Genomic DNA, 25095 nt, shown 5'->3' on the forward strand with positions numbered 1-25095 from the left:
AAGAAAGAGGTCGGGGCAGCTTCGGCAATTCCTTCCTCTCTCCTGCCACTGGGACAAGCTCACCTCTGCTGCACCCTCCCTGCCTCAGCAATCTTTGATCTGTACCTTCAGAGAAGGTTTTTATCCTAGTCCATCCCCAGCAGACACCTCCTGCCCAGCCTCTCTCTGAAGGTCTACATGGCAACCACGGGCTACATGTGGCTCCCGGGCACCTGCCTTGCTTGCACTGAGATGTGTTATCCTGCAAAATACACACAAGATGCGAAAAAAAAGAATGTCAAGGAAATCATTACTATTTTTTATACTTGTTGAAATCATATTTTGGCTGTACTAGGTTAAAAATATTATAAAAGTTGGTGTCATCTGTTTCCTTTTACTTTTTAAAATGTGGCTGATAGAACATTAAAAATTACATAGGTGGCTTCTCTTTGCTGCTCAATATATTTCTATTGGTCTAGACATTTTTTTTAAAACCACATATCCACCTAAGTGTTCCACCTATATCTCCATCTCAGAAAGTCTCAAACCAGTTTCACTATCTTCTTCCCCCAAAACACTTTTTCCATGTCTTGTTTTCCCAAGACAGAAACCTGGTGATTAAACCATAGCCTGCTTCTACTCCCAAATGCCAGCTGAGAACTGTTGGTTCTGTCTCCATAATCTCTCCACGCCAGCACTTTTCCCCCAGCCCTACTGTCCTGTCTCAGCTGAGCCATTCATCTTTTCTTCCTGGATTACTGTACTGTCCTCCTACAGGAAATTCCCTTATTTTTTTTAAATTTTCTTGTAGAGATGGGATCTCACTGTGTTGCCCAGGGTGGTCTCAAACTACTGGGCTCAAGTAATCCTCCTGCCTCTGCCTCTGAAAGTGTTGGGATTAACAGGCATGAGCCACCCCACCTGGCCCTATGTGAAATTCTTGAATTCATTCCCACCCTACCTCAGTGGTGCTCTCACAACAGAGAAACTATCTTATAAAGGAAATCCTATTTCACCTTCCTGCTTGAAATGTCTCACAGTTGCCCTGCCATCTGGCTCTGGTCTGCTTGCTCGATTTTACTCACTATCTCTCCATATCGGGCATCCTGCATTCCAGCCATACCAATGGCTCCCAGGGCCCTGCAGATTTATATGAAATCCATCGCTCCATGCCTGGGCGCTGTGGCCACGCTGCTCCCTGGTCACGGTGAGGCTGGGCATGCCTGGGCGCTGTGGCCACGCTGTTCCCTGGTCACGGTGGGGCTGGGCATGCCTGGGCGCTGTGGCCACGCTGTTCCCTGGTCACGGTGGGGCTGGGCATGCCTGGGCGCTGTGGCCACGCTGTTCCCTGGTCACGGTGGGGCTGGGCATGCCTGGGCTCTGTGGCCACGCTGTTCCCTGGTCACGGTGGGGCTGGGCATGCCTGGGCTCTGTGGCCACGCTGTTCCCTGGTCACGGTGGGGCTGGGCATGCCTGGGCTCTGTGGCCACGCTGTTCCCTGGTCACGGTGGGGCTGGGCATGCCTGGGCTCTGTGGCCACGCTGTTCCCTGGTCACGGTGGGGCTGGGCATGCCTGGGCTCTGTGGCCACGCTGTTCCCTGGTCACGGTGAGGCTGGGCATGCCTGGGCGCTGTGGCCACGCTGTTCCCTGGTCACGGTAGGGCTGGGCATGCCTGGGCTCTGTGGCCACGCTATTATTCCCTGGTCACAGTGGGGCTGGGCAGCTTCCAGAGCGAATGTGGACATATTCTTAGGCCCCACCTCACGCACTTCTTCAGAGAAACCTCAGAGGCTCCTCCACAAGCCACGGGTACCCCCAGATTTCCCTCACTCTATGCATCCCATGCGCCTCTAGCAACGCAGGACCACACTCGAGTAGAGCTGTCTGTGCCGAAGACTGTTTGGCAGACACTGTTTCAGATGCGTTCCAGACACTTAGGAGAGCGACTGACACAGAGCAGGGCTTGACTGATTACATCCCTCGCTCATTTCTCCCGGCCCCGTCACCTTAGTTCATGCCCAAGTTTTCCTCTTGTCGAATTCATCGACACTATCATTTCGTAATCTTTTCTTGTGCCCTTCATTTAATTTGATACTGTTACCAGTTATATATTTTTCACCCACAAATATGATCATTACTTTTCCTCTGTAAAGAAGCTCCAATGGTTCTCTCTCTTTCTCTCTTTTTCTTTCCCTAAAGAATTAACCCAAACTACTTAACATGATGATGATCCTGATGCTGATGACAAAAATAGGCATGGGTGGCCATTCATTCTGCCTCTGACGTGCCAGGCGCTATGCCGGTCATTTTGCAGTAATCTCATTTAATCCTAATGATAATACTCAGATGTAAGTGCTATTATCTCTTCCCCCTAAGTAGGGAAATAGGGGTCAGGAAAAGCCCAGGAGCCTGTTCCCCAAGACCAAGTTAGCACTACAGAGCTGGGAATGAATTCCAACTTTATGTGACTGCAAAGCTCTTCCATGCCCCCACACCACCCCACGCCCGGTTCTCCCTACTGTTCCTACATTCCAGACGCACCATCCAGCCTGCAATGTGCTTTCACACCATGTTCACCTGCAGACAATGCTTTCTCCATCTAATGCCCCTGCCTTCACCATGCACACACTGAAGTTGCCTAGAAGGGTCAGTCACACTCTACTCTGTGCCTTCCTTCTGCCTCGGCACTTGTGATGCTGCGGGATTATCAGTTTCCCCTCCCTCATCCCAAAGACTGAACAGTCACCAAGAGTAGCAAGTCGACTAGTCACCACTGAACATACGCAGCCTGGAGAATCAGAGGTGCACGGTGTGTGCCTTTTACATGAACTCATGCATACACCAAGAATGATAGTAATGCCTGCTCACATTTGTTTAGCATCTCCCACATGCCAGACCTCACCCTACACAATTAGAATACATAATCCATTCAATCCTCCCACCACTCTTTAGGATAATGTATCATCTTAATCCTTATTTATTTTTTCCAGAATAAACTTGTGATTCTAACAACTTCAACATAAAATAAATAACTTTTGCTCAATATCAAACTCTATAAAATCACTAAAATTGGCCCAATATCCTGGGTTTTTTAACTTGCATTATTTCTTCCTGATAATGACATTTAGGCCAGTCAAATCCTGTATTACCGTTTTAAACAAAGAAAAAAAGATTATGAGTTGCTTTTAAAATTCACGTGTGACAAGCAGAAAAAACTCGTGGAGGCAGTTTCAACATTTAACCTAAGTGTACTTAGCAACTACACTTAATAGCTTTTTAAAAAGCCTCGTTTTTAAAAAAAGTGGATCTTTCTTTGCAGAGTGACTTAAAATACATCATCATAGTCTTATTAATTAAACATGTTCTTATCAGAAAAAAGCGTCTCGAAAGCTAGTATATATGCTTAATTAAGCTGTATGCAACCATCAGTCCATATCTTGAATTAGGCTACATGTGAGGCCCTGATTTGCCCCATTCTTTCTGCTACCCAGAACAGCACTGCTCACTGCCTACCAGTGTTTCCAGCAAAGATATAAAGTTCTACATGTCTAAACGTTTTTGCCCTGATATCAAAAGCAAAGCAAAACAGGTCTTCTCCATTCCCATTTTGGTTAACAGCATCACCATCTGCCCACTGGCCTGATCCACCCAGAAGCCTGTCTTCTTTTTTGAACTTGAAATACTCATGTGCTTTATTTGTATAAATTCCCATTATTCCCTCACTGCTCCAAAAATAGAGAAGAAAGTAACATAAATGTACTGACATCAATTTGAGAACTAGAACATGTTACCTTCCCGAAGTATCCATCTTGGATATAGGGAAGGAGACTTAGCCTCATAAAAGCACATGAAGGAATGCTCAGAGGAAATACTCTAAACCTAGTTTTCTGGAATTGGTAAGCAGAAGCTCTGGAGTCAGTTACAGGTTGTGAGCCTTCCACCAAGAAGAGCCACCTAACATACCAAAAAAATAAGCATGAGATTCACTTAAAGTTTGACAAATTTAGCAACTCCTTTCCATTGTCTGCATTTTAGAGAACCTATTGATGCTGTTGTAACAGCTACAGAGAATCGTGAGATGCCCAGTGACATTGGCTATAGTGGTAGCAAACCGGGTAGTGGGAAGTTTTCTAACAAATACTATGTAAAAGGAGAAGCCTGAGTCTTTTAACACCACAGATCAAACACTGCAAATGGTAGGACGAGCATTAGAGTCCCGCTGAGGTCGCTGAGACTTACACTTCACACGAATTGTAGTGGTGCCTAGATCTCCCTGAAGAGTGGCAGAAGCAGCCGCCCATCCCTTAAACTACACATGTACCTGGCTTCTCAAGACTCCAGAGTTTACTTAGAGATGAGTAACTAGAGCACAGGAATTTGGAAGAGAGTCTTTCTATAAACTCCCAGGAACAACCAACACCAGTAGTGGCTGACGTCTGTGAGACCTTCTTTGCGTCAGATGCAGTGCTCTCATCAACATCCAACACACGTGCCTTTAATGCCTGGGACTATGGCGACACTCATTTAGATGAGGGAACTGTGGCATAGAGGGTTTCGTACCTCGGCTTACTTCACTGCAATCGGCTTTCTAAACCAGAACTCCCACCCGACAATGTGTGAGTCCAAAGTCCATGTTTCTAGGTGCAGTGGCTCACTCCTATAATCCCATCACTTTGGGAGGCTGAGGCAGACGGATCACTTAAGGCCAGGAGTTCGAGACCAGCCTGGCCAACATGGTGAAACCCGTCTCTGCTAAAAATACTATTAGCTGAGCATGGTGGTGCACGCCTGTAATCCTAGCTGCTCAGGAGGCTGAGGCAGGAGAATTGCTTGAACCTGGGGAGGCAGAGGTTGCAGTGAGCCAAGATCATGCCACTGCACTTCAGCCTGGATGACAGAGCAAGACTCCATCTCAAAACACAAAAAATACAAAAAGTCCATGCTTCTAACCACTAGCAATCACCCTATAACATATTCCCCTCAATGAAAAAGACTGAATCCAAGAAATCTCACCTGCGTCAGACTTTCTAAGTCATAGAGATTTATAGTAATAATTTTAAATGAGTCTTTGACTTTCAGACCCAGCGTATGAAGGAGGAGAGTGTGAGTCAGTGCCGTTCCTGGGCGTCCGCTGGGAACTTCCCTGACTGTCCTTCTGGCTCTCAGGAGTGGAGCTCACTTGCTCAATTCATTCCAGTGTCCCAGAGGTCACAGTCTCCCCTCTGTGAGCTGGGCTGTCCTCGGTCCCTGGGCCTATCTCTTTGCTGTCCTCCCTGGGATCTTGCCCCTGGGGTAGCCCTGCTTCCCTTGCAGCTTTCTTCTCTGCTGCTGGTGCCTTCCCCAGGGCTGTGCATGGGCTTAGCTCTTTCTTCATTTCTCTCCCTCTCTCCTCTTTTCTTCCTGCTGTCTTAGCTGGGCCCCCTCCATCCTTTTATTTCCTAATTGTACCTGTTGCTTCCATACCCTTAAAAGCATACTCCATTTTCTCCCTAGATGTATTGAGGTATAATTGACAAAGCTGCAGACATTTAAGGTGAACCACGGGCTGCTTTGATACAGGCATGCACTGTGCACTGATCACCACAATCAAGTTAGTGATCACTTCTTATCTTTTTTGTGGATGGTAAGAACATTTGGATCTACTCCCCTAGCAAGCTGCAAGTGTGCAATGTGGTTTTATTCACTACAGTCACCACGCTGCATGAGATCCTCAGAACTTATTTGTCCTATAACTGAAAGTCTGTGCCCTTTGACCTCATTTTCCTCCCCCCACCAATTCCTGGCAACCACCATTCGACTCTGTTTCTATGAGTTCAACATTTAGACTCCACATATAAGTGAGATTGTACAGTATTTGTCTTTCTCTGTCTGACTTGTTTCACTTACCATAATGTCCTCATATGTATGCTGTTGCAAATGGCAGGATTTTCTTCTTTTTTAGGGCTGAATAATATCCCATTGTGTGTATATACACCACATTTTCTTTATCCATTCATCCATGGACAGGTCCTTAGGTTGTTTCCATATTTATTCCTTTCCTTTGTATGTATATCCAGAAGTGGAGTTGCTAGATCATATGGTAGTTCTGGTTGTAATTTTTGAGGAAACTCTGCACAATTTTTTACAATGTCTGTACCAATTTACATTCCCATCAACAGCTTACAAGGGTTCCCTTTTCTCCACATCCTCACCAACACTCGTTATCTTTTGACTTTTTGGTGATAGCCATCCTAACAGGTGTGAGGTGGTGTCTCACTGTGGTTTTGACTTGCCTTTCCATGATGCTTAGTGATGTTGAGCACGTTTCCATACGTCTGTTTGCCATTTGTATGTCTTCTTTGGAAAACTATCTATGCTGGCCCTTTGCCCATTTTTTAACTGAATCATCTCTCTCTCTCTCTCTCTCTCTCTGTGTGTGATGCTCTTGAGTTGTAAACACATTTCTTAATCTTTCCATGTGCTTTAATCTCAGCACTTTAGCAACTGTCAAGAACAAAGTTCTTTTCAAAAAGTTCATCTCAAAGTTGGCCACTGACTCGTAACAGGTAAAACCCAATGAGCACTTCCCTGAGCCTCAGTTTCTTCTTTTCTCATGTGAAACAGTGATGATAGTGCATACCTCCCAGGGCTGTTGAGCCAGACTCAACAATTTACATGAAAGCACTGAGGGGGTGCCAAATACATGTGAGTGGTATAAAACAATTCTTGATGCTACAAAGCTTGCTTTTCCACACTATTGTCAAAATCCCACCTTGTTCGAGCCCCAATTAAAATACCATTTTCTCTAATCCATCTTTCCCGATCCTCTAACAAACTTCAATTCTCTGAGCAATTTATTATCATCTTCTGGAACTCCATTGCTTAAGACGATCAAAGAGTTTCTTTATTGTATAAGTTACTTCTGCGCATGTCTTTTGAAGGAATAAATAAATGCATTGATTATATCTGCCTTATAGCACTCCATCACCTTCTATCTTAAATTACAGTAACTAGCGTTCCTGTCTTCCTGCACTAAATTGTAAGCTCTTTCAATGGCTTCCTGGCTTATTCTCTCATCTTTTCCTCCGGTCCTTGATGGATGTATAATAAATGAATGAGTAAATTATATGAAAATGCAAGTATGATTTTTTTAATATACAGTTACAACTTCGACATCCACAGTTGGGTCTGACCACTTGTTAAGTTGTACCCAGAACTTAGGTCTTTCTCGCTCTCCACGTTCCCTATCAAGGCCATCTTTTCAATACCAAACAAATTAGAAAGAATACAATCAGCTAACTTACACTAACATACTAACAAATGGGACAACAGTCTTCAAGGTCTGGAAGAGGAGAGCAGAGAACTCATCATTGCCTGCTCAAGCCCATCTACCAGGAGGGGAAACTCCAGATACTGTGGGCCACTTGGCACTTAGGAACTCATGGTACTGATCTGTATATTGGGCAGATATAGTTTTTTGGTGATAGTCTTAAAAATCATGTGTCACCTGTCATGACACTTGCCAGATGAAATTCTGATTTTATTTCCCAAGAGAATGCACTGACAAATTAATAATCTGACCTTTAAACGGGTGATATTTCTCCATGTCAATCAACAAGAGGCCATTCTGTTTTGTTGACCAGATAAAATACTCTTTCACTCTCTGAGGGGTTAGCGAGAGTGCATGCAGATTTCTCCAATGCTTTGCTTTTGGTTGGAAGCAGAAACATTTAAATTTCAAGGCAACACTTTTCCTAATTCCTACTGAACTCAAAAGCTCTAGTGGTTCAGTGATCCCATTGGTAACAAATACTTAGAGGGCCAGAGTCCTTCTGGGTCCTATCCTTACGCTCCTGTTCTCTCCTCCTCTCAGGCCTTTTCTGCACCATGCAAACCCAGCACCTCTTCTCACAGGCTGGGCTAAAGGCAGAATGCAATACCATGACTGAGGAGCCTGGGAATGAGGCAATTCATTAACAGAACATTCCCCAGGAAACATAATTTTCTGATCATAATCTCTTTGTTCCTGACAGTTGCAAAATTAAATACCAGAGCCAAAAAAAAGTGAGGCACCGTTTTAAGGGTATGTTTTCCTAATTCGATCTTCAAAGGAAGCACAAGCTTAGGGTTCGAAATCATTATGATGTAATATTATGCCACATAATAATACATAGATCCAATCATTTTACCAGATAACCGTCAATATAAAGCACTGACAGGACATTTGGGACTTCGGGTCAACAGGAAGGTGGTTTTTCAAACTAAACTATATTATTTATGGCTTTGATTGTCATTTACTTTTACAACATAAGGGTGATGGTAATTCTGCTCTTCTGCCAATAAATCTAAAAATTAATTGAAAATGTAGTCAAAATCCTTGGCACACTTTAGAAGGAAGATTTTTTTAATTAAAAAAGCCATATTAATCATTATATAAATGAGTTATATTAGTCCTGTAAAATTAAATCTATGGTGGAAAGGAAGTCAGTGAGTGATATAATCGGATTTCAGAACACATATCATATAAAAAGTTATGTTTCTAAATAAAGTGAGTGTGAAAGAATTCAGGATATATTATCAGTCATCTGAGTTACTGCCCTAAGACAGCCCTTCTCCCAAAACAGATATGGTTTCTCTGACAAAGAAGATAAGTGTGCCTTCTCATATTTTTATTATTTTCTTAACTGTCAGACATAACTCATATGTAGTTAAGTTGCTCAGAAGGTTAAATTCGGAGGAAAAATTCTACAAGTGGTTTAAATGAGCCAAATCATTTTTGGTTGCGTCATGTTTCCTCCGTTGAAAAAGTCTCGATGACTTAAAAAGGATTGCTTTGATACTTAGCTTAGTGTTTTACCCAAAAAGCATACTGACCAAAAACAAACAAACAAAAAACCCATAACAAAACAAACATTTAAAGATATGTAGACCAGATCAGTTTTCTCCTGATGAAAGTCACATGGAACCACACGCAGGTTACCTTGCTTTCAGCAGGTCCCTTTCCTTGGGTGTGAATTTTATTTGTTACAATAACCGACTTGGCCTAGTTACTCAGCCATCCTTCGTTCACTCTTGGTAGTGGACATGGCAAGATGGTGGGTAAAAACACGTAAACAAGACTGCTCTCTCGTGGAGGTCACTTTCACATGGAAAGACTGGACACGTCAAAACACTTCATTAACATGATATAAAAATAATACAACATGTAAAGTGGTATCGGCGCATCTAAGACAAAGCGATTCAATGTTAAATCCCTCTTTGGGAAATAATTTAAGATTGCAGAAAATGTTTCTGAGAAATTCCAATGTAAACGTCCTTAAAAGTCCCTACTTTTTAGTATTTGGTATTATACTTATAGATTTTGTGATTTTCCAGATTTTTCATTAAAAGTTAATATGCATAAAACTCTTGGGATGGTAGCAAGTACAGAGTGAAATCTATATAAATTATTATTATTATCAATATCTTTTGGAGTGAACAAATTGAACATTTTTTGAATAATCTTTTGCGTAGTTGACTGAATACTAGTTAATAGGTTTCTATTGTTTTCTTGAGTTAAATCAGAAGCAGATATTTTGATTGACTGTGTAAGGTCTTGCAGCTTCTATGGTTTTTTTTAACTTGAAAAGGTCTTCCCAGACTGATACCTCTTTCTGTCTTGAACTCTCTGTTCAACTATATTCTAAAGCCTTAAAATGAAGATCTTCAATTTTATAACTCTGGATTTAAACTTTTCTTTCTTATTCTTTTTTATTTTACAAAAGAAAATTTTAACTCTTTAGGTTGATTATATTTCTTGATGAATGTGACTGTACCAAGAGGCTTTAAAAAAATTGAGATTAGAAATCAGTTTTTCTTATCTTCTGAATTATTCACCATATGATGTGTTGCATTTGAGCTTTATCTATGCTTCTGGTAATATTTCTGTCTTATATAATTGTTAAAGTATAATGCTTCTCACCAGGAAGACTATATATATATATATGTTTAATAATAGCCTTTTTAAATTTTCATGTGTTTTTTCTTCTCCTTTGTTTTCTGATTTTTAAAAAATCAGAAAAATGTCTGAATTGTCACTTTATCTGTAGATTCAAAGAGCACTTTCTAATCATGTGTTGGCATTAGCACAACACCGGGGAAGATCTGATTGCTGTAAGCCGTTCATTCATTCAGCAAATACTGACTGAATATGCAGTATGTTGACCTGTTTGCTGAGGGCCTCTCTGTTCCGGCTGCCATTCTAAAGCGAGTCAAGTTTTCCCTGTAACTTTTATTCTGCAGAAGTAACCTGTACCTTTTTCCATTCTCTTGCCATTCACCACTCTCCTGACCTCCCTTTGCGTAAACTGGTTTAAGCCTGGCGCTCTAGGTCCATCCAACAACACCGGTCTATTCACACTGTAGCAGAGCAACCAAGCAGTTATACAATTTTCATCTTAACTACTAGTAATACTATGCTATAAAAATTTTGAAACCTAGATTTTGAGATATTGAGCAAACTAAAATATGTAGTATTTACTATAGTGCAAGAATACGTCTGACGGGTTAAATGCACGCGTTTTGGAAAGTGCTCAAACCCTTCACCAGATGACACAGTTATAGCACAACAACAGCTGAGGTTATTGTTATCTAATCTCCTTTCCCTCGTTAACTTTAGCACAGAGAACTGAAATAATTGGGTGTGAAGGCATCTTGATAATCTACCAAAAAGGCTCATTTTTAAGCAGCCAAGCGTTGCTCTCTTAAACTTTTGTTGTTTAGTAGCATAAAGTGTAGGCAACCTGTATGAAGTATAAATATCTGGTATTAAAAAGACCCAGTGAGGCAGAAGTCGCTGACTCCTCTCAATAGGTGGAAGAGGATTCTCCATGCAGCCGAAGGCTTAATGAAGCACATTTCCACCAGCCAGGCTGCTGCCTCTGTGGTGTTACCTCTTCAGAGGACTCAGTGCCTCTGAGAAGCTGGCTGTCCTCAGCGAGAAGTAAGTACAGGGACTTCTGTTTAGAGGAGACTAGAATGAATATTTATACTAATAAATTTTCTCCAACATAGCCAAAATCTCATTTGAATATGTTTTTCTTTCTGTGCATTTAAAACACTTGCCATTCTTCATGGCATCCCATGCTTGTACTCTTAGAGGATCTTCACGAGTGGCACAGCTCTTGGCTAGAATCCTATTTTTTTTTTTTTTTTTTTTTTTTTTTTTTTTTTTTTTTGAGACGGAGTCTCGCTCTGTCGCCCAGGCTGGAGTGCAGTGGCGGGATCTCGGCTCACTGCAAGCTCCTCCTCCCGGGTTCACGCCATTCTCCTGCCTCAGCCTCCCGAGTAGCTGGGACTACAGGCGCCCGCCACTACGCCCGGCTAATTTTTTGTATTTTTTAGTAGAGACGGGGTTTCACCGTTTTAGCCGGGATGGTCTCGATCTCCTGACCTCGTGATCCGCCCGCCTCGGCCTCCCAAAGTGCTGGGATTACAGGCGTGAGCCACCGCGCCCGGCCTAGAATCCTGTTTTTGCTATAGTTTGTTGGACTCCTTGCGGCTAATCCTTGCAGCTATATTAGTCTCTGAGGGATGCTGAATTGAATAGAACATCAGAAGATTTGGAGCCTGACGGGTTTATGTTGCCCCTGTCCTCAAATTCAACTATTCCAGAAAAAATGTACTAGGACAAGGAACCTGAAAAGAAGAACTATTTCTAACAATGGATTGGATGAACTCTCCCATTCAAAGCAGAGGATATAATTCATTATAAGACTTGTAATTTACTTTAACCACTGGGAAAACATCTCAGAGGGAAGAGAGAAAAACTGAATTTCTGATTAAATTTAAAAAATCAAAAATTTAATAAGTAGGCAACCGTATAAATGAACAGAAAAAAACAAAATATCACCGAAACTTTCAGATAATGTTCTTTGTTAAAAATAAGTTTCCCTAAATTATAATATGAATATATAAAGAGAAATTAGAAAATATAATGAGAACATTACCAGGCCTTTTTGTTTTCTTTCTTTTTTATTGTGTTTTTGTTTTTTTGAGGTGGGAAAATCTTTGAAAGTAAGACCCTTGATTGGATTCAGGAAAGTGAAAGCTTTCTGAATTTTTGCTCAAATAATGCTTCTCTAAGGTACAGAATTTAATGCTGAATTTATGTCTACCTCACCTGTATAGGGAAGAGGAAACCACTGCTTTTTTGGCCAAAATTCCTACTTGGTAAACTAGTATATTTCCGTTTTGAAGACCAAGGTGCAGTGAAGTGTGGTGGAGTTCCATATGGATCTGTTATGCTGCAAACACCAAAGTAAAAACCCGTCTTTGCTGGTTCCCCGTCATTTATTCAGCAAATATCATCTTAATTGAACTTAAGCTGAAACGTGAGTTCTTATTTGCCAATACTCAGAACTCAACAGTTGCAGAAGTGTTTCCTTTTAACTGCATGTCCATGTCTTGAGTTTTTCAGAAATAATACAGAAAAACATATTTTGAAAACATATTTATCTGTATTTTTCCACGTGACAGTGGCAGTTTAGGATTTAACAGGCATATCCATAATTAAATTGTTAGTTTGAGGAACTTCCAGAAAATTATCTAATGCAATCATATATCACAAGTCTTCTTTATAAAATACAAGTGCAACTCATTTCATTATGCTATCCATGTAGTTAGACATAACTGAGACCTTTAAAAATATTATAAATGACTTAAAATAGAAAATGTTAGAAACAGTACAGGCATATTACAAAATCATGGTTTCTGAAATCTAATTACTATATGCAATTTAAAATAATTAAACATGATTAGTCTTTAAGATGAATAGAACCAATTCCAACTTTAGCTATTATTTAATTATAGCATGCTGTACATTAAAATCAGCTGGAAGATAGCCAAAATAAGCTTTAAAGGACAGCATGATAATTAAGAATTGCTATTTATCTTACTTTTATTAGAAAACTCAATGCTGGAATGAATGCAATAATGTCAAGAAATATGAATTTAAATAATTTCCTAAATATTTTACTTTCTAATCCCAAATATCAGGATATTTTAAACTTCCTCATCAATTCTACTTTATATACAAAAATTCATACAGTATTAATTAGAACTTTTGCTTTCAACACAGATATCTTAAAGACAAGGAATTATGTATTTATAACTTCTTAATAAAACTATGGGTACATTCTTATTTTTGATTGTGGCAGTTTTTTCATAAAAAGGCTACTGAAATCAGGCTTATTTAAAAAATACTAATAATGTTATCTAATATAGAACAGAGGGTAGGAAGTCTCTGTAAACAAACCTATATCTATATCAAGAGTGATTCTAAGAGAATATTCTCTCCCTTACCCAGGTACTCAAGTTGTAGGGTAACATAACTAGTGTAACGTAACTAGTGATTTCCAGTCACCTTTTAGGTTTACTTAGGAACATTAAAAGAAATGCTGCCATTGTAGACTTCATTTCAATTATTTAATCTCTTTCCAGTTCACGACCTTTACTTTCTTCTGGTTTCAGCAAGAAAAACAACTTCATAAGTGTCTTACATTATAATCGGCTACTAATCATCATCAACTCAACATTAGTTTTAAACAGTCTGATTCCATAACAAATTTGTAATAGGGATATTTTCTATACATTTTATAATAGCCATGGATAGAAAAATAGTATTATTTATATACTAAAACATTCAAGTTGTTTTGTTTAAAACATACATTGTAAAATTTTCCCTCGGGAAATTTGGATTTATTATAGGACAGTTGTAGCTTTTATGAAATTGGGATCCTGAAGCCATATTTTCAAATCAGAAAAATGAAAGCCTCATTGTTGTTTTTCAAATGTTTTAAGTTTCCTTGATAAAAGGCAGTATTAGGACTTCTATTTCTAGGTCAAGTCTATATTTACAGTAACTAATAGGAAAATATTGAAGTCTGAGGTTACCAGTACAATGTCTGAATGCAAAATTCTGGACACTGGACAAAGTACTTTAGAATCAGAGGCCAGCAAAGCTCTGGAAGGCTGTGAACAGGGACAAATGCAATATGGTTCAGCAGACAGAAAGTCAGAAGTAAGATTCAGATGTAGCCAAGCAGGGTGGGGGACAGTGAGGGGGGATGTCTAGCTGGACTTGAAGGGCGTATGAAAGCAGCTGTCCTTGCAGGGGAGATTTAAAGGAAATGACTCTTCAGGGGGCACTGCATTTGCAAAAAAAAAAAAAAAAAAAAAAAAAAATCTGATATAGTATGTTTTGGAAATTCCAAAATATTTGATATTGCCAGCAGAAGAGTTGGAAAGTGGCAGAAAATAAGGGTCTAAAAATAGCCATAAGCGAAAGTGCAAAGTCTTGAAGGATAGAGATTATGTCTCTGAACCTGGTTCTCAAAATTGTTGAATTATTAACTATGGAGATGCGCTGTACAGAATTGAACTTAAAATGGTCATCTGTGTATAGCATGTCATCTTAAAAGGTTACTAAAATAGGAAAGAACTTGCACAGGTATAAAGTGTGTGCCATTCCTCCCGTGGGCTAAGGGTCTTGTCTCACTTGGTGCCACTATCAATGCAACAGGCACAGCAGTCGGGTGTGCCCTGGATATTTCTACACCTCATTCTTCTAAAAGCTCCCCCAAGAAAAATTAATAGGAAATCAGGTGCTTGCTGCAGGTCTTTGCACTGTGTCAATTCTAAGAAATCCTTTGGCAGTGTAAAGCTTTGAAGGAAATTAAATTGGAGAGAGATTTTCTCTACCTTTCATTCAGCTCATATAGAATCCCTTACTTAGCTGATATTTTTGCTCATAGAATTGGACTCAGAACTAAGTCTGTTCATTTAGCTTTCCTTTGAATGTTAAACATAATGAAGTACAAGGCCGTCACCTCACCATTTTATCCCCTACAACCCGCATAGGCGTACACTTATCACCAAACGTTTGCACATGTTTGGCTCCACTGAGATTCTTAGTCTCTATCTTTATATTTTGACTATTTTGACATTTAGAACAAAAGTTTGGAAAACTATTCTCCTACTGCTTTAGCATTCTCTTATCTTAGGGCTTATGAACATTGCTACATCTCTGAAACAGGCGGTTCCTGCCCATATCTATCAGTGAAAATTATACTTAAAATTCTGAAGAGACTCATGTCATCCAGATTTTGGAGGAAAAAGGTAGCAAATAAAAATATACTTCTTAGAAGTAGATCTCAGTTACTACTTATTTTAAATTTCACAGTAGATTCCATCTTTTGTAGATAGGGGTTTTGTTCAAAGTTTTTGACCAAACATTTTTATTAAATATTTTCAATAGTATTATAAGTGATCTGACATTTTTGGTAACAAAACAACCAAAGAACTGACTTGAGTAAAGCTGAAATGTTGCTGAACCAGAATCTAATCCTTACTCCGTCATTTTCTTACCAGGGATTTTGATTTGACTGACCAGTTTCAATCCACAGTAACAGCTTTGTTCCTAAGAGACTATAAATCAAGGAAATACTCACTACCAGGCAATTCCTCCTGCAATTCGGGGTCTGTGCTGTTATTATGAAGCAACTGACAGCAAACATTTGCTGCAAGTATGAGCGCAGATTTGGATGAGGTGTGCGGTGTTTTTGGTTTCACTCTTTATCTCTGAAACCTATCTGCTTGTGAGAAAAATTGTGCAAGAAAAGAAGTTTTACTGCCACATACCTCAGCTGTCCTAGAACTCAATGCAGAGGCTTCGCTTCCTTTCTTTCCTTGGATTCTGAGCCGGGGGAGCACAATGGGGGTCTTGTGCTCTGGGCCAGCAAGGCATGCAGATACTCGGAAAGGAGGTGTGAACGGCTTCCAATACCTACACTGTTTGCTTTACAACTACCCCAACTAAATCAAACAGGACACCAAGACACTCAGTCCAGGGTAAGCAAGTACAAAATCCACTGGCTATTATGACCCACATAGAGAACAGAATTCTTCAATTTAAGTGTGTACATAGCTGTGTTAAGAGTTAAATAAATCATTTACGAGGCTTAAAAAGAAATGCTTCTCATGTAGTTCTTTTTCATGTAGTTCTCTGAATACAAGTCAAAGTGCAGGTCACGAAAGAATCCATTGTTCACAAGCGAGAAATGTTGTTGGCTGTGAGGACGGTTCAGAACAAGCCATCGTAGTCTGCTCAAACAGTAAATATTGGTTTTAAAACCCCAAAGCATATCGGTCATGTTTTTTATCTTCCAATTGCTAGAACCAAAATTCACTGAAACAACTCTATGTCTCTGATACTATTTTCTAGAAATGTGTGTGTATGCGTGTGTGTATGTGTCTGTGTATGTTTGTTTGGTAAATCCAAATCACACAATCAACGTAAATCTTTCAGGCTAAGTTTTGCCCCAGTTATTTTTATGCTGTGCTTTCAAAAAGGTCAAAAAAGCTTACCTCTGTCAGTGTACTGGGACGCTCAGGAAGCCCCTTCTCCGCCTCGGCCTCAGCGTGCAGACATATGCCCTGGGAGCCCACAATCTGTTAACAGGAAGCAGGTAAACCCGAGAGCGTCCGCCTGCGTTCCAGTCCAGTGCCCGTCCCAGCACACACCTGCTTTTTCAGACCTGCCGCTCATATGCCACAGCCACGCACAGGACCAGCGTTAGCAGAGTGCAACACCCTCCGTTTGGATCCCTCGTTTTCAGGGTAAGCAGCTAGGGAGCTGCTGAGATAATATTGCAGGGAAAGCTTGCCTTCCCAAGACAAAAACCTTTGCTGCTGCCTGATAGCAGATATGCAGCATTATCACTCTGCATTCCACATTCTCCAATCAGCTAATTGGAACGGCAGTCAACAGCCTGTCCAAAAGGCAGCTTGCAGGCCTGCGTGGCTGTGATCATTGTATACTAACATGCCCATTGCTTCTCTCTTCCCTGAAGAGATGTATAAAAGAGGCTTCTTCCAGGGCGAAGCTCAGCAGAATATGCCACACTGTTTTCCATAAGTAAAATGGCTGGTCCTCTCAGCTCTGCTGCAGACAGCTCATTGGGTTCCACTGGCTTTTCGTAGCCATAGCAACAACCAACAGACAGACTTAGCAAGCATGGCTGATCATGTGCAGCACACTCACACAGCTTGTTAATTTCTTTTCATCAAACTCATCATTTTTTTGAGGAGGGTAGCTTCTGTTATCTTTCTACACATTTCACCGATAGTGCAAGTGCTCCGATTTTTCTGCTCTCCTGAAGAACTCTTTTTTATATGAGCCGGGGCTATGTATGAAATCGAGGAAGTGAAGCCCTATTAGTGGCTATCCAGGTTAATAACATGCAAATCACTTAAGAGACCCTAACTGGAAGCATTGTCAAAACAAGCCCCACCTTCCAGTCATAGAATGAGTGCAGAGAGCTGCAAACGGGAGAGTTACACTTTTTGTTTTTAAATGATAATCTTAGAGCCACTTAATTGAAACAAAACCCTGTGAATTGCTATATAGGGTCAGAATAATAACTAAATCAGGTAGACTATTTTAATAAGATCTTTAAATATCCATTTACTTATGGCTCAACTTATCTGATTACTTTAAGATGCTTTTTATGCAATTTAAAATAGAATTTTTAAAAAATCCTATTGCTTCTACGGCAGAAAATGATTCTTTAACTCAATCTTATTTGTAAATTAAAAATTCTTTTTAAAAAATCCGCACCTAATTAAAAATTCTTTGACTTTAAACATTACCTTCAAGGCAAGAATAGTTTTACTTCCTCAGTAAAATGGATCACATTCCACCCGTCCATAACATTTCACCTCCTCTGGGAATCTACCATGATTAATGCCATGAACAACGTAAATCTTCTGCAGAACCCCCAGGCTTTTCTTCTTTTTCAGGACTCTATCACCAGTCATATTCTATCTGATATATTTCCAAGGCACTGTCCCATTTATTTTTGTTTCTAGCAATCTGTTTCAAATAGTTATGTTAACACTTTGGACTTGTAAATATAGATGTTCTATTTGCTAAGTAGTCATTGATTTAGGATTCCGTCAGTATTGCGTTTCCCTACCCATGTTAACACTCCTGCCTTCAGTATTAATTCCCAAATTTTGACTGCATAGGAATCCTGTGGATGTAGATTTGGGGATGCCCGCTCCCCTTCCTCCCCAACCGGATTCACATTAGGTAGGTCTGAGCCACCCAGGGTCAGCGTATCCATGGAGGACAAGTGGGTGGCGCTTTCCTGCTTGGGAGAGTCCTCACCGCTTCAGATCGCCTCCAGCCAGCCTACCTTTTCTCACTGAAGTTCCCTTCCCTGAAGTTATTTTGCATTTGCTGTTGCTGAGCGTGCCCCTGCCTTCGCCCTCAGCCTCCCATTCTACTATTCACTGCCCACGTTTCAGAATCCTGCATTACACACCATTTCCTTGCCCTGCAGATGCTGCTACTATTAAAAACCTTCTCAATCTGACTGCTCCTCGCCCCAGCACCTTTAACCTCCATCCCAATCTGCCTCCTCTTTTATCTTCCAACACCTGGCCCAAATGGACCACCTCACTCATGACTCTCCCAGGTGGGGTCTGAGCGACCTCTTCTGCGACTCCCCTGTACCGGGGTCCACCTCTGCTATTACAGGCCTTGTCACGCCCTGGGACTTCTTAGCAGTTCTCCTTTTATGTCTGACTCCCAGACTGTTCTATCAACTCTCTGGAAGCCAATCTGGTCCATGTCTTCTTTGCCCTCCATGCTTGGAATATTCTAATTTCTCAATGCCTCTAAATGAGGACCTACGACACTGTATGAATAGGGACTGATGACTGGCTGGTGTGAAATCTGTGTTTTAATTTACTTTTCAACATCACACATTTGTTGACTCATCACTTCAGAAGAACTTCAGTGATTTTGACAAAATGCTGGCATGTTACAAAAGGATATCAAGAAAACTCTAGGTGCACTTGATGTTTTAGGGTGGCTTTTCTTTTCATTGTATCTCTGAAAATGTCTTTATACCCTCACACTTGATTGATTGGTTGGCAAGGCATAAGAATCTCTGGCCGTGGCTCACACCTTTATTCCCAGCACTTTGGGAGGCTGAGGCAGGTGGATCACTTGAGCCCAGGATTTGAGACCAGTCTAGGCAACAGACTGCATCTCTACAAAAAAAAAAAAAATCAAACAAACAAACAATTAGCCAGGCATGGTGGTGCACGCCTGTGGTCCCAGCTACTCGGGAGGCTGAGGAAGGAGGAATGTTTGAGCCTGGGAGGTCGAGGCTGCAGTGAGCTGTGATCACATGACTGCATTCCAGCTTGGCAACAGAGGGAGACTCTGTCTCTGTTTTTAGTAGCAAAACAAACAAACAAACAAACAAACAAATATCTGAAGTCATTTTCCTTTGGAATTTCAAAGGCCTTCATCCTTCTTCTTGTATCTCCTCCTCCCCTATACCTCCAATTCCTGCTCCTCCAAAGAGAACTGGAAGTCCCCCAGTTTGCACTGAACCGGAACTGGGAAGCTGGCAGGAACTGAGATGAATCCCTTTCCCCTCTTTGCCCCGTGGCACGTCTCCCGGCATCTCTACTGGCCTTCACACATCACTCTGCTGCCAGTCTGTTCTTCCAAGGCTCTTGGCTCCTTCGCCTGCTCGAAGCCCCTCCCTTGTAACTTGGTGCACTGAGGCCCATTGGCATTGCTCTGACCTCAGGCCCTGCCCTAGCCCAGGTCCCTGACGTTTATTCTCCTTCCAAACGTGTTTGTTTTAAAATGTGCTAGATACAGATTTCCAAGAGACAAATCTGATTTTTCCAGCCCATCTTTCTGAGTCAAGTGAGATACCACCTATGTGGCCAGCAGCTTTATACATGGGCTGCCCTGTGCCTTGGTCCAATCAGCTATGACAAGGACACTTGGCATTATCTAGTTTTAAAATTTTGCTAATATAATAGGTGCAGAGTAATGGCCCATTATTGTTTGAATGTGTGTTTCTCTAATTACTGACAAATTGAACATCTTTTCATTGTTGATGGTTTTCAGGGTTCCCTCTTCTGTAAATTTTCTGTTCATAGCTTTTGCCTGTTTTCTCTATTGAGATTGTTGTCTTAGTGTGGAATTTTAAACAACGTGGTCATAAAGGTATTTTTTATATATATTTAAACATTATAATTAAATTTGTTATATTATTAAAGGTTATTAAGATATCCACTAACATATAAAGGGAACCCTATAATTCACACTGCTAGTTGTTTTGGTTTTTATTATGAAATGAAAATACAGAATGTGTGTGAAAATCTCCATTCAGAAATTATGTTCAGTATGAAAGCGTAGAATACCACACCATAATATGATTTTCTAAGACAAATATTTGTTTAGAAGGATTTTCAAACAAATATATTATCATCAAAGAATACATATACACACACATATATATGCTCTAATAGTATACGCACACACATATATATGGAGAGAGAGAGAGAGCTATCTATCTATCTAGCTTCTATTTTAAGTTATACCGTATGCACACCTACACATCAATCAATCTACCTATCTATCATCTGTGTATCATCTATGGAAGGCAAACACAAATGTGCAAAATGCTAACACCTGATGAATCTTAAATGAGAATATTTTCAGTTTATTTTACTATTCTTTGCACTTTTCTATAAGTTTGATTTGTTTTCAAGATACAAAGTTTTAAAAAATGAAATAAAATGAGAATAAAAATAGTGTTTAGAATAGACACAGAGTTAAGGTTAAGATTAGTTGATGAAGACATAACTATTTATCAGAGTTGAAACTAAAGAAGTTAATAAGTTATGGAGTAACTAAAGTGATTACTACCATTACTGTTACTCTGAGGAGGCTACTCTGGTAGAGAGTATTGGAAACATTTTGCACTTTCTTGAAACAAGTTTGCTATTTCCCTACATTTACTGCTTCCCTGTATTCTGATCTTAAACCATTTATCCTCTGGTTCGTATTTTGAAATCCTTATTAGTCTGTTTCCTTAATTCAACAAAATCATCACTGCTTGAAGCAATAGGTTCTTCTCTAGTCACATCTTCTGCTGCAGACTCCACAGCTGGGACCCACCAAAGGATCTGGTCCCTGGCACAACAAAGAAACACGTCATATGACTTAACTTAGAGACTGGAATTGAAGCATGGTTTATGAGGTAGCAAAGACTTTTGTAAAGCTTAGATTGAATTTTCTAATTCCTAAAACAAATAAAATAGAATATCCCAAAGGTTATTCCAAAACCTTGCATATTTAGTTACTCTCACAATGACGTGAACAATGTCAAAATAGGACATTGATGGGAAATGTGACAACTGACTTAGGAGGAGGATTGAAGTATCTCAGTCAAACAAATTGGATTTATTTCTATGATTCCAACCCCAAGAAATATATGCTGGAAAGCAGACTGACCCACAGGCTACTAATCAAATGCGTTCATATCCCCTGAAGAAGTATGACCCTGATCAGTATCCAGAATGACTTTTATAAATCAGAGGTGCCCAAAACCAAAACAAACCCAGCAGAGTTGAGGGTTTTTGGAAATTCACTTATCAAATGAATTTAAAATGAGAAAATGATTATAGAAGAACAAAACCTTGCCAGAGAGCAAATGATAAGAACGTAAACATCAGCAATAAAAAACCGTTCAACAAACTGGAGAGAAAGCCAAACCTATTAACACAAAAACACTGTGTGTAGCCCATTAGTTGTTCCTAGAACCCCCTAGAAATTCTGTATACTCTCTAGGTTAAGAGGAATAAGGAAAATGTGGCAAGAGGTACAGGAAGAAGTTTCAGCTAGTCCTAAGTCTGGAGAGCCCGGTCTTTACTGGCTAATAATAACAACATTGTTTTAAATATTTCAGGTTTATCAAGCTTTGGGTTTGCAAATGACTATGATTGCAGCAGCTTACAGGAACTACTTTATCGTAAAATGTGTGTTAATATGTGTCAGTACCAGGTGGGGAAAAAATAATGGTGTTATCCAATAATAACAAAAGAAAAAAAAAACCACCCACAATTAACCCCCTCCCACAGCCCTGTTAACCAGTCCCAAACATATAAATACATCTTGCTGTAGCTAGAGAAAAGTACTCCTGGCTTTTATTAAACCTGCAGTGGGGAGAGATTCTGCAAGCAATACAGAAAAGGCTGCACTTGCTCCCAAGGAATTTGACTGTTTATACTTCATAATGATAAGCTTAAAAAGCGACCTGGAAAGAGAGGGCTGGCTGCTTTCATGCTCCTGTGAGGGGCCACACTTTGTTCTTGGAGAGGCACTCTGACCACATTAATAGAGTGTAGCTCCCATGACCTTTCCCACTTAGCATTGTGTCCTGTGGCAGCAGTGGCCCCCAGGTACTTCCGGGCAACGTGCCACCCTACCCAGTGCAGAAAAAGCACTGGGCTCTGCCGTCACGGCATTGTTGAATTAGTAACGAAACGCACCAGGCTCAGCAAACAAAACCTGGCAAGAAGGATTTTAAAACAAATGCTTCTGGTTTCACCTGAGCCACTGAAACAAATTAGAAGGTGCTGGGTGAAACTGGGCAGCTTCCGTAAACTCTGAAGAAGATCATGCTAAAGCCCTCAGCTGCCAAATGTGCAAATCTCAAAAGAAGTGAAAATTAGAGGGTCACCTTGTGTCTTCTAGAAGTGCTTCTGAAATACATGTTCAGTAAGATTCATTGGTCAAGATAATAAGATGGGCCCAAGTGATGTATTAATACAATCAGGTACACGTTTTAGGATCCAACGGTCCAACAACAAGTGGAAAATACTGTTGAAAAATAAAAATCCCCAATCCGCACTGGAAATAGTAGATGTTCAGTTAAAGGCCTGACAGTGACAGCACGTGCAGGTAGGAAAAATAAACTATGCGTGCTTGCAGAATATTGGATGGGAGCTATAACCCAGAATGGTAATTATTTTACTAAGCCTACCCAGGTCAGAATTCAGTGCCTATGTGTTTGTTTGTTTGTTTGTTTTTGAGATGGAGTCTCGCTCTGTCGTCCAGGCTGGAGTGCAATGGCACAATCTTGGCTCACTGCAATCTCCGCCTCCTGGGTTCAAGCGATTCTCCTGCCTCAGCCTCCCGAGTAGCTGGGATTACAGGTGTCCGCCACCACACCAGGCTAATTTTTTGTATTTTTAGTAGAAACGGAGTTTCACCATGTTAGCCAGGATGGTCTCCATCTCCTGACCTTGTGATCCACCTGCCTTGCCCTCCCAAAGTGCTGGGATTACAGGCATGAGCCACCGTGCCCAGCAGCCTATATTTTTAAAAGTCAGACTCTGGCATCCTAATTGCCAGATCATTGCCTTGAACTGAGAACATTCTTCTGGACATTTCCTGCATCAAAGGAAGACTATTTGAAACATTCCTTGTGAGAGGTCAGGAGATCGAGACCATCCTGGCTAACACGGTGAAACCCTATCTCTACTAAAAATACAAAAAATTAGCTGGGCCTGGTGGTGGGCGCCTGTAGTCCCAGCTACTTGGGAGGCTGAGGCAGGAGAATGGCATGAACCCAGGAGGCGGAGGTTGCAGTGAGCCGAGATCGTGCCACTGCACTCCAGCCTGGGTGACAGAGCGAGACTCTGTCTCAAAAAAAAAAAAGAAAAGAAACATTCCTTGTGAGGTTTAAAGTAGCATGACAAATCATTCCACAACCAACTTTCCTATAGGCATAAAGGTAGATTTTAAAAAATTTATCTGAGAGCTGATACCTGACCTGCATCTTGAAGGACCCATTATTCTCTTGGCATGTGGACTCTTTCCTATATCTTTCCTTCATTAAAGACATGGTTTGCTTCCAACAATTGGAAGCAAACTCAAGTTGTGTTTCAATTTTTGGTAACACATGAGAAAGTCTTATCACAGGATCAGGATTGGCTGCATAGGAGAGAAAGCTCAAATAACAGGGCTTACAAGAGACAGAGCTATATTTTTCTCTCACTTGAAGGATTGAGAAATAAGGAGTTCTAGGCTAGTAGAAAATTGGCCTCATGATTATTAGGACTCTAGCTCCTACCCTCTGTTCTGTCATCTTTTGAAACTGGTTTCTATCCTCAAGAATCCTCGTGGTCCAGAATGGCTACTTGTGCTCCAGCCATCAGGTCCATGTTCCAGGCAAGAAGAGGAGAGGGAGAGCCAAGGGGCACATTTTCCGCTTGAGTTGGCCTCTTTGAAGGAGCTTTTCCCCACCTCCCACCCAGCACTTCTGCTGATATCTCATTGCATCCTGAGTGATAAGTAAGTCTCAAAAACGTGGTCTTTTCAGCCGGACGCCTTTTGGTCCCAGGTAAACCAGTGTTCTACTACTGAGAAACAAATTGATAATAGGGAGTGGATAGACAACAAGCTGCCTCTGCCAGCTCATGTCAGCCTGGGTACAAAGAAAGTACTATCTCATTTCTGGACATTGTCAGTGAGCCTTTATTCCTGGCTGGTCACCTGTCAGTGCAGGGATCACCCAGGCTGACTCGGTGGGTTGCGGAAGCACCCTTCCTTCATTCCTGCCTGGGGGTGTCCTTGCCTATCCAGCCACTGTGCTTAACTCCTCAGCACAGACTCAAAGCATTGCCATCTCTCCTTATACTGGTTTCATATCAATATCTCAAAGTATACTTGTTCATTCACTGTGGAACAAATAAATAAATGGTGTGGATTCAAATATTCTGCAATTTGTTAGCTGTGTGATATGCAAATTGCCTAACCTCTTTGTGCTTCTGTTTCCTCATAAGAAAGGATGATAATATTATCTAATTCTGAGGGCGGTTGTGGCAATTAAATCCATTAATTAGCATAAAAGGGTATTAGGTATTATCTTGAATTTTGTATCTTTGATTTATGGTGCGGCACTGGGTGGGCACGGACCTCCGGGACCTTCCAATACCGTGGGAAACATCAGCTGGACGTGGACCAGAGCGTCAAAAAGCAACACAAATGCATGTGTTCATCAAAAGAATGGTCCAGACGGTGAGGGCCGTGGGCTTCAGCAAAGGAGAAACAGGCACTAGTGTCATCAGTGGGAACTTATCGCAGGCTCCCTGCAACCTCACCTGGACAGCGCGGCGCTGTGTGAACAGCCAGCAGGAGGCCTTTTCGCTTCTGCCTCCTGCTTTCCTTCCCGGCTGATGTCCTCCCCTCCCCTTTAATTTAAATTGGCACCAGT

General features: G+C 40.9%; 1 protein-coding gene across 35 annotated transcripts in view, besides 2 other annotated features; it reads right to left on the reverse strand.

Annotated features, from left to right (window-relative positions):
- The window catches only part of SORBS2 (sorbin and SH3 domain containing 2), a 370850-nt gene that overhangs the window by 209778 nt on the left and 135977 nt on the right, over positions 1–25095 (reverse strand). For 23 of the 35 annotated variants that reach the window (NM_001394270.1, NM_001394247.1, NM_001394252.1 and 20 more), the window contains exon 1: positions 16364–16894. The exons of 10 other annotated variants lie outside the window; for them this stretch is intronic. The gene's annotated coding sequence lies outside the window, so the exon portion shown is untranslated. Of the gene's footprint in view, positions 1–15447; positions 15595–15637; positions 15805–16363; positions 16895–25095 lie in introns of those variants that run through there. 2 more of the 35 variants (NM_001145671.3, NM_001145672.2) reach the window with 2 other exon arrangements.
- Positions 880–1396: an enhancer, noted in NCBI's record as "OCT4-H3K27ac-H3K4me1 hESC enhancer chr4:186717334-186717850 (GRCh37/hg19 assembly coordinates)". NCBI's record gives its function as "activates a minimal SCP1, AML or CMV promoter by ChIP-STARR-seq in primed H9 embryonic stem cells {active_cell/tissue: H9 hESC(primed)}" and the evidence as "EXISTENCE:reporter gene assay evidence [ECO:0000049][PMID:30033119]".
- Positions 1397–1912: an enhancer, noted in NCBI's record as "OCT4-H3K27ac-H3K4me1 hESC enhancer chr4:186717851-186718366 (GRCh37/hg19 assembly coordinates)". NCBI's record gives its function as "activates a minimal SCP1, AML or CMV promoter by ChIP-STARR-seq in primed H9 embryonic stem cells {active_cell/tissue: H9 hESC(primed)}" and the evidence as "EXISTENCE:reporter gene assay evidence [ECO:0000049][PMID:30033119]".

This window comes from Homo sapiens, chromosome 4, assembly GCF_000001405.40.
Source record: "Homo sapiens chromosome 4, GRCh38.p14 Primary Assembly".
NCBI lineage: Eukaryota > Metazoa > Chordata > Mammalia > Primates > Hominidae > Homo > Homo sapiens.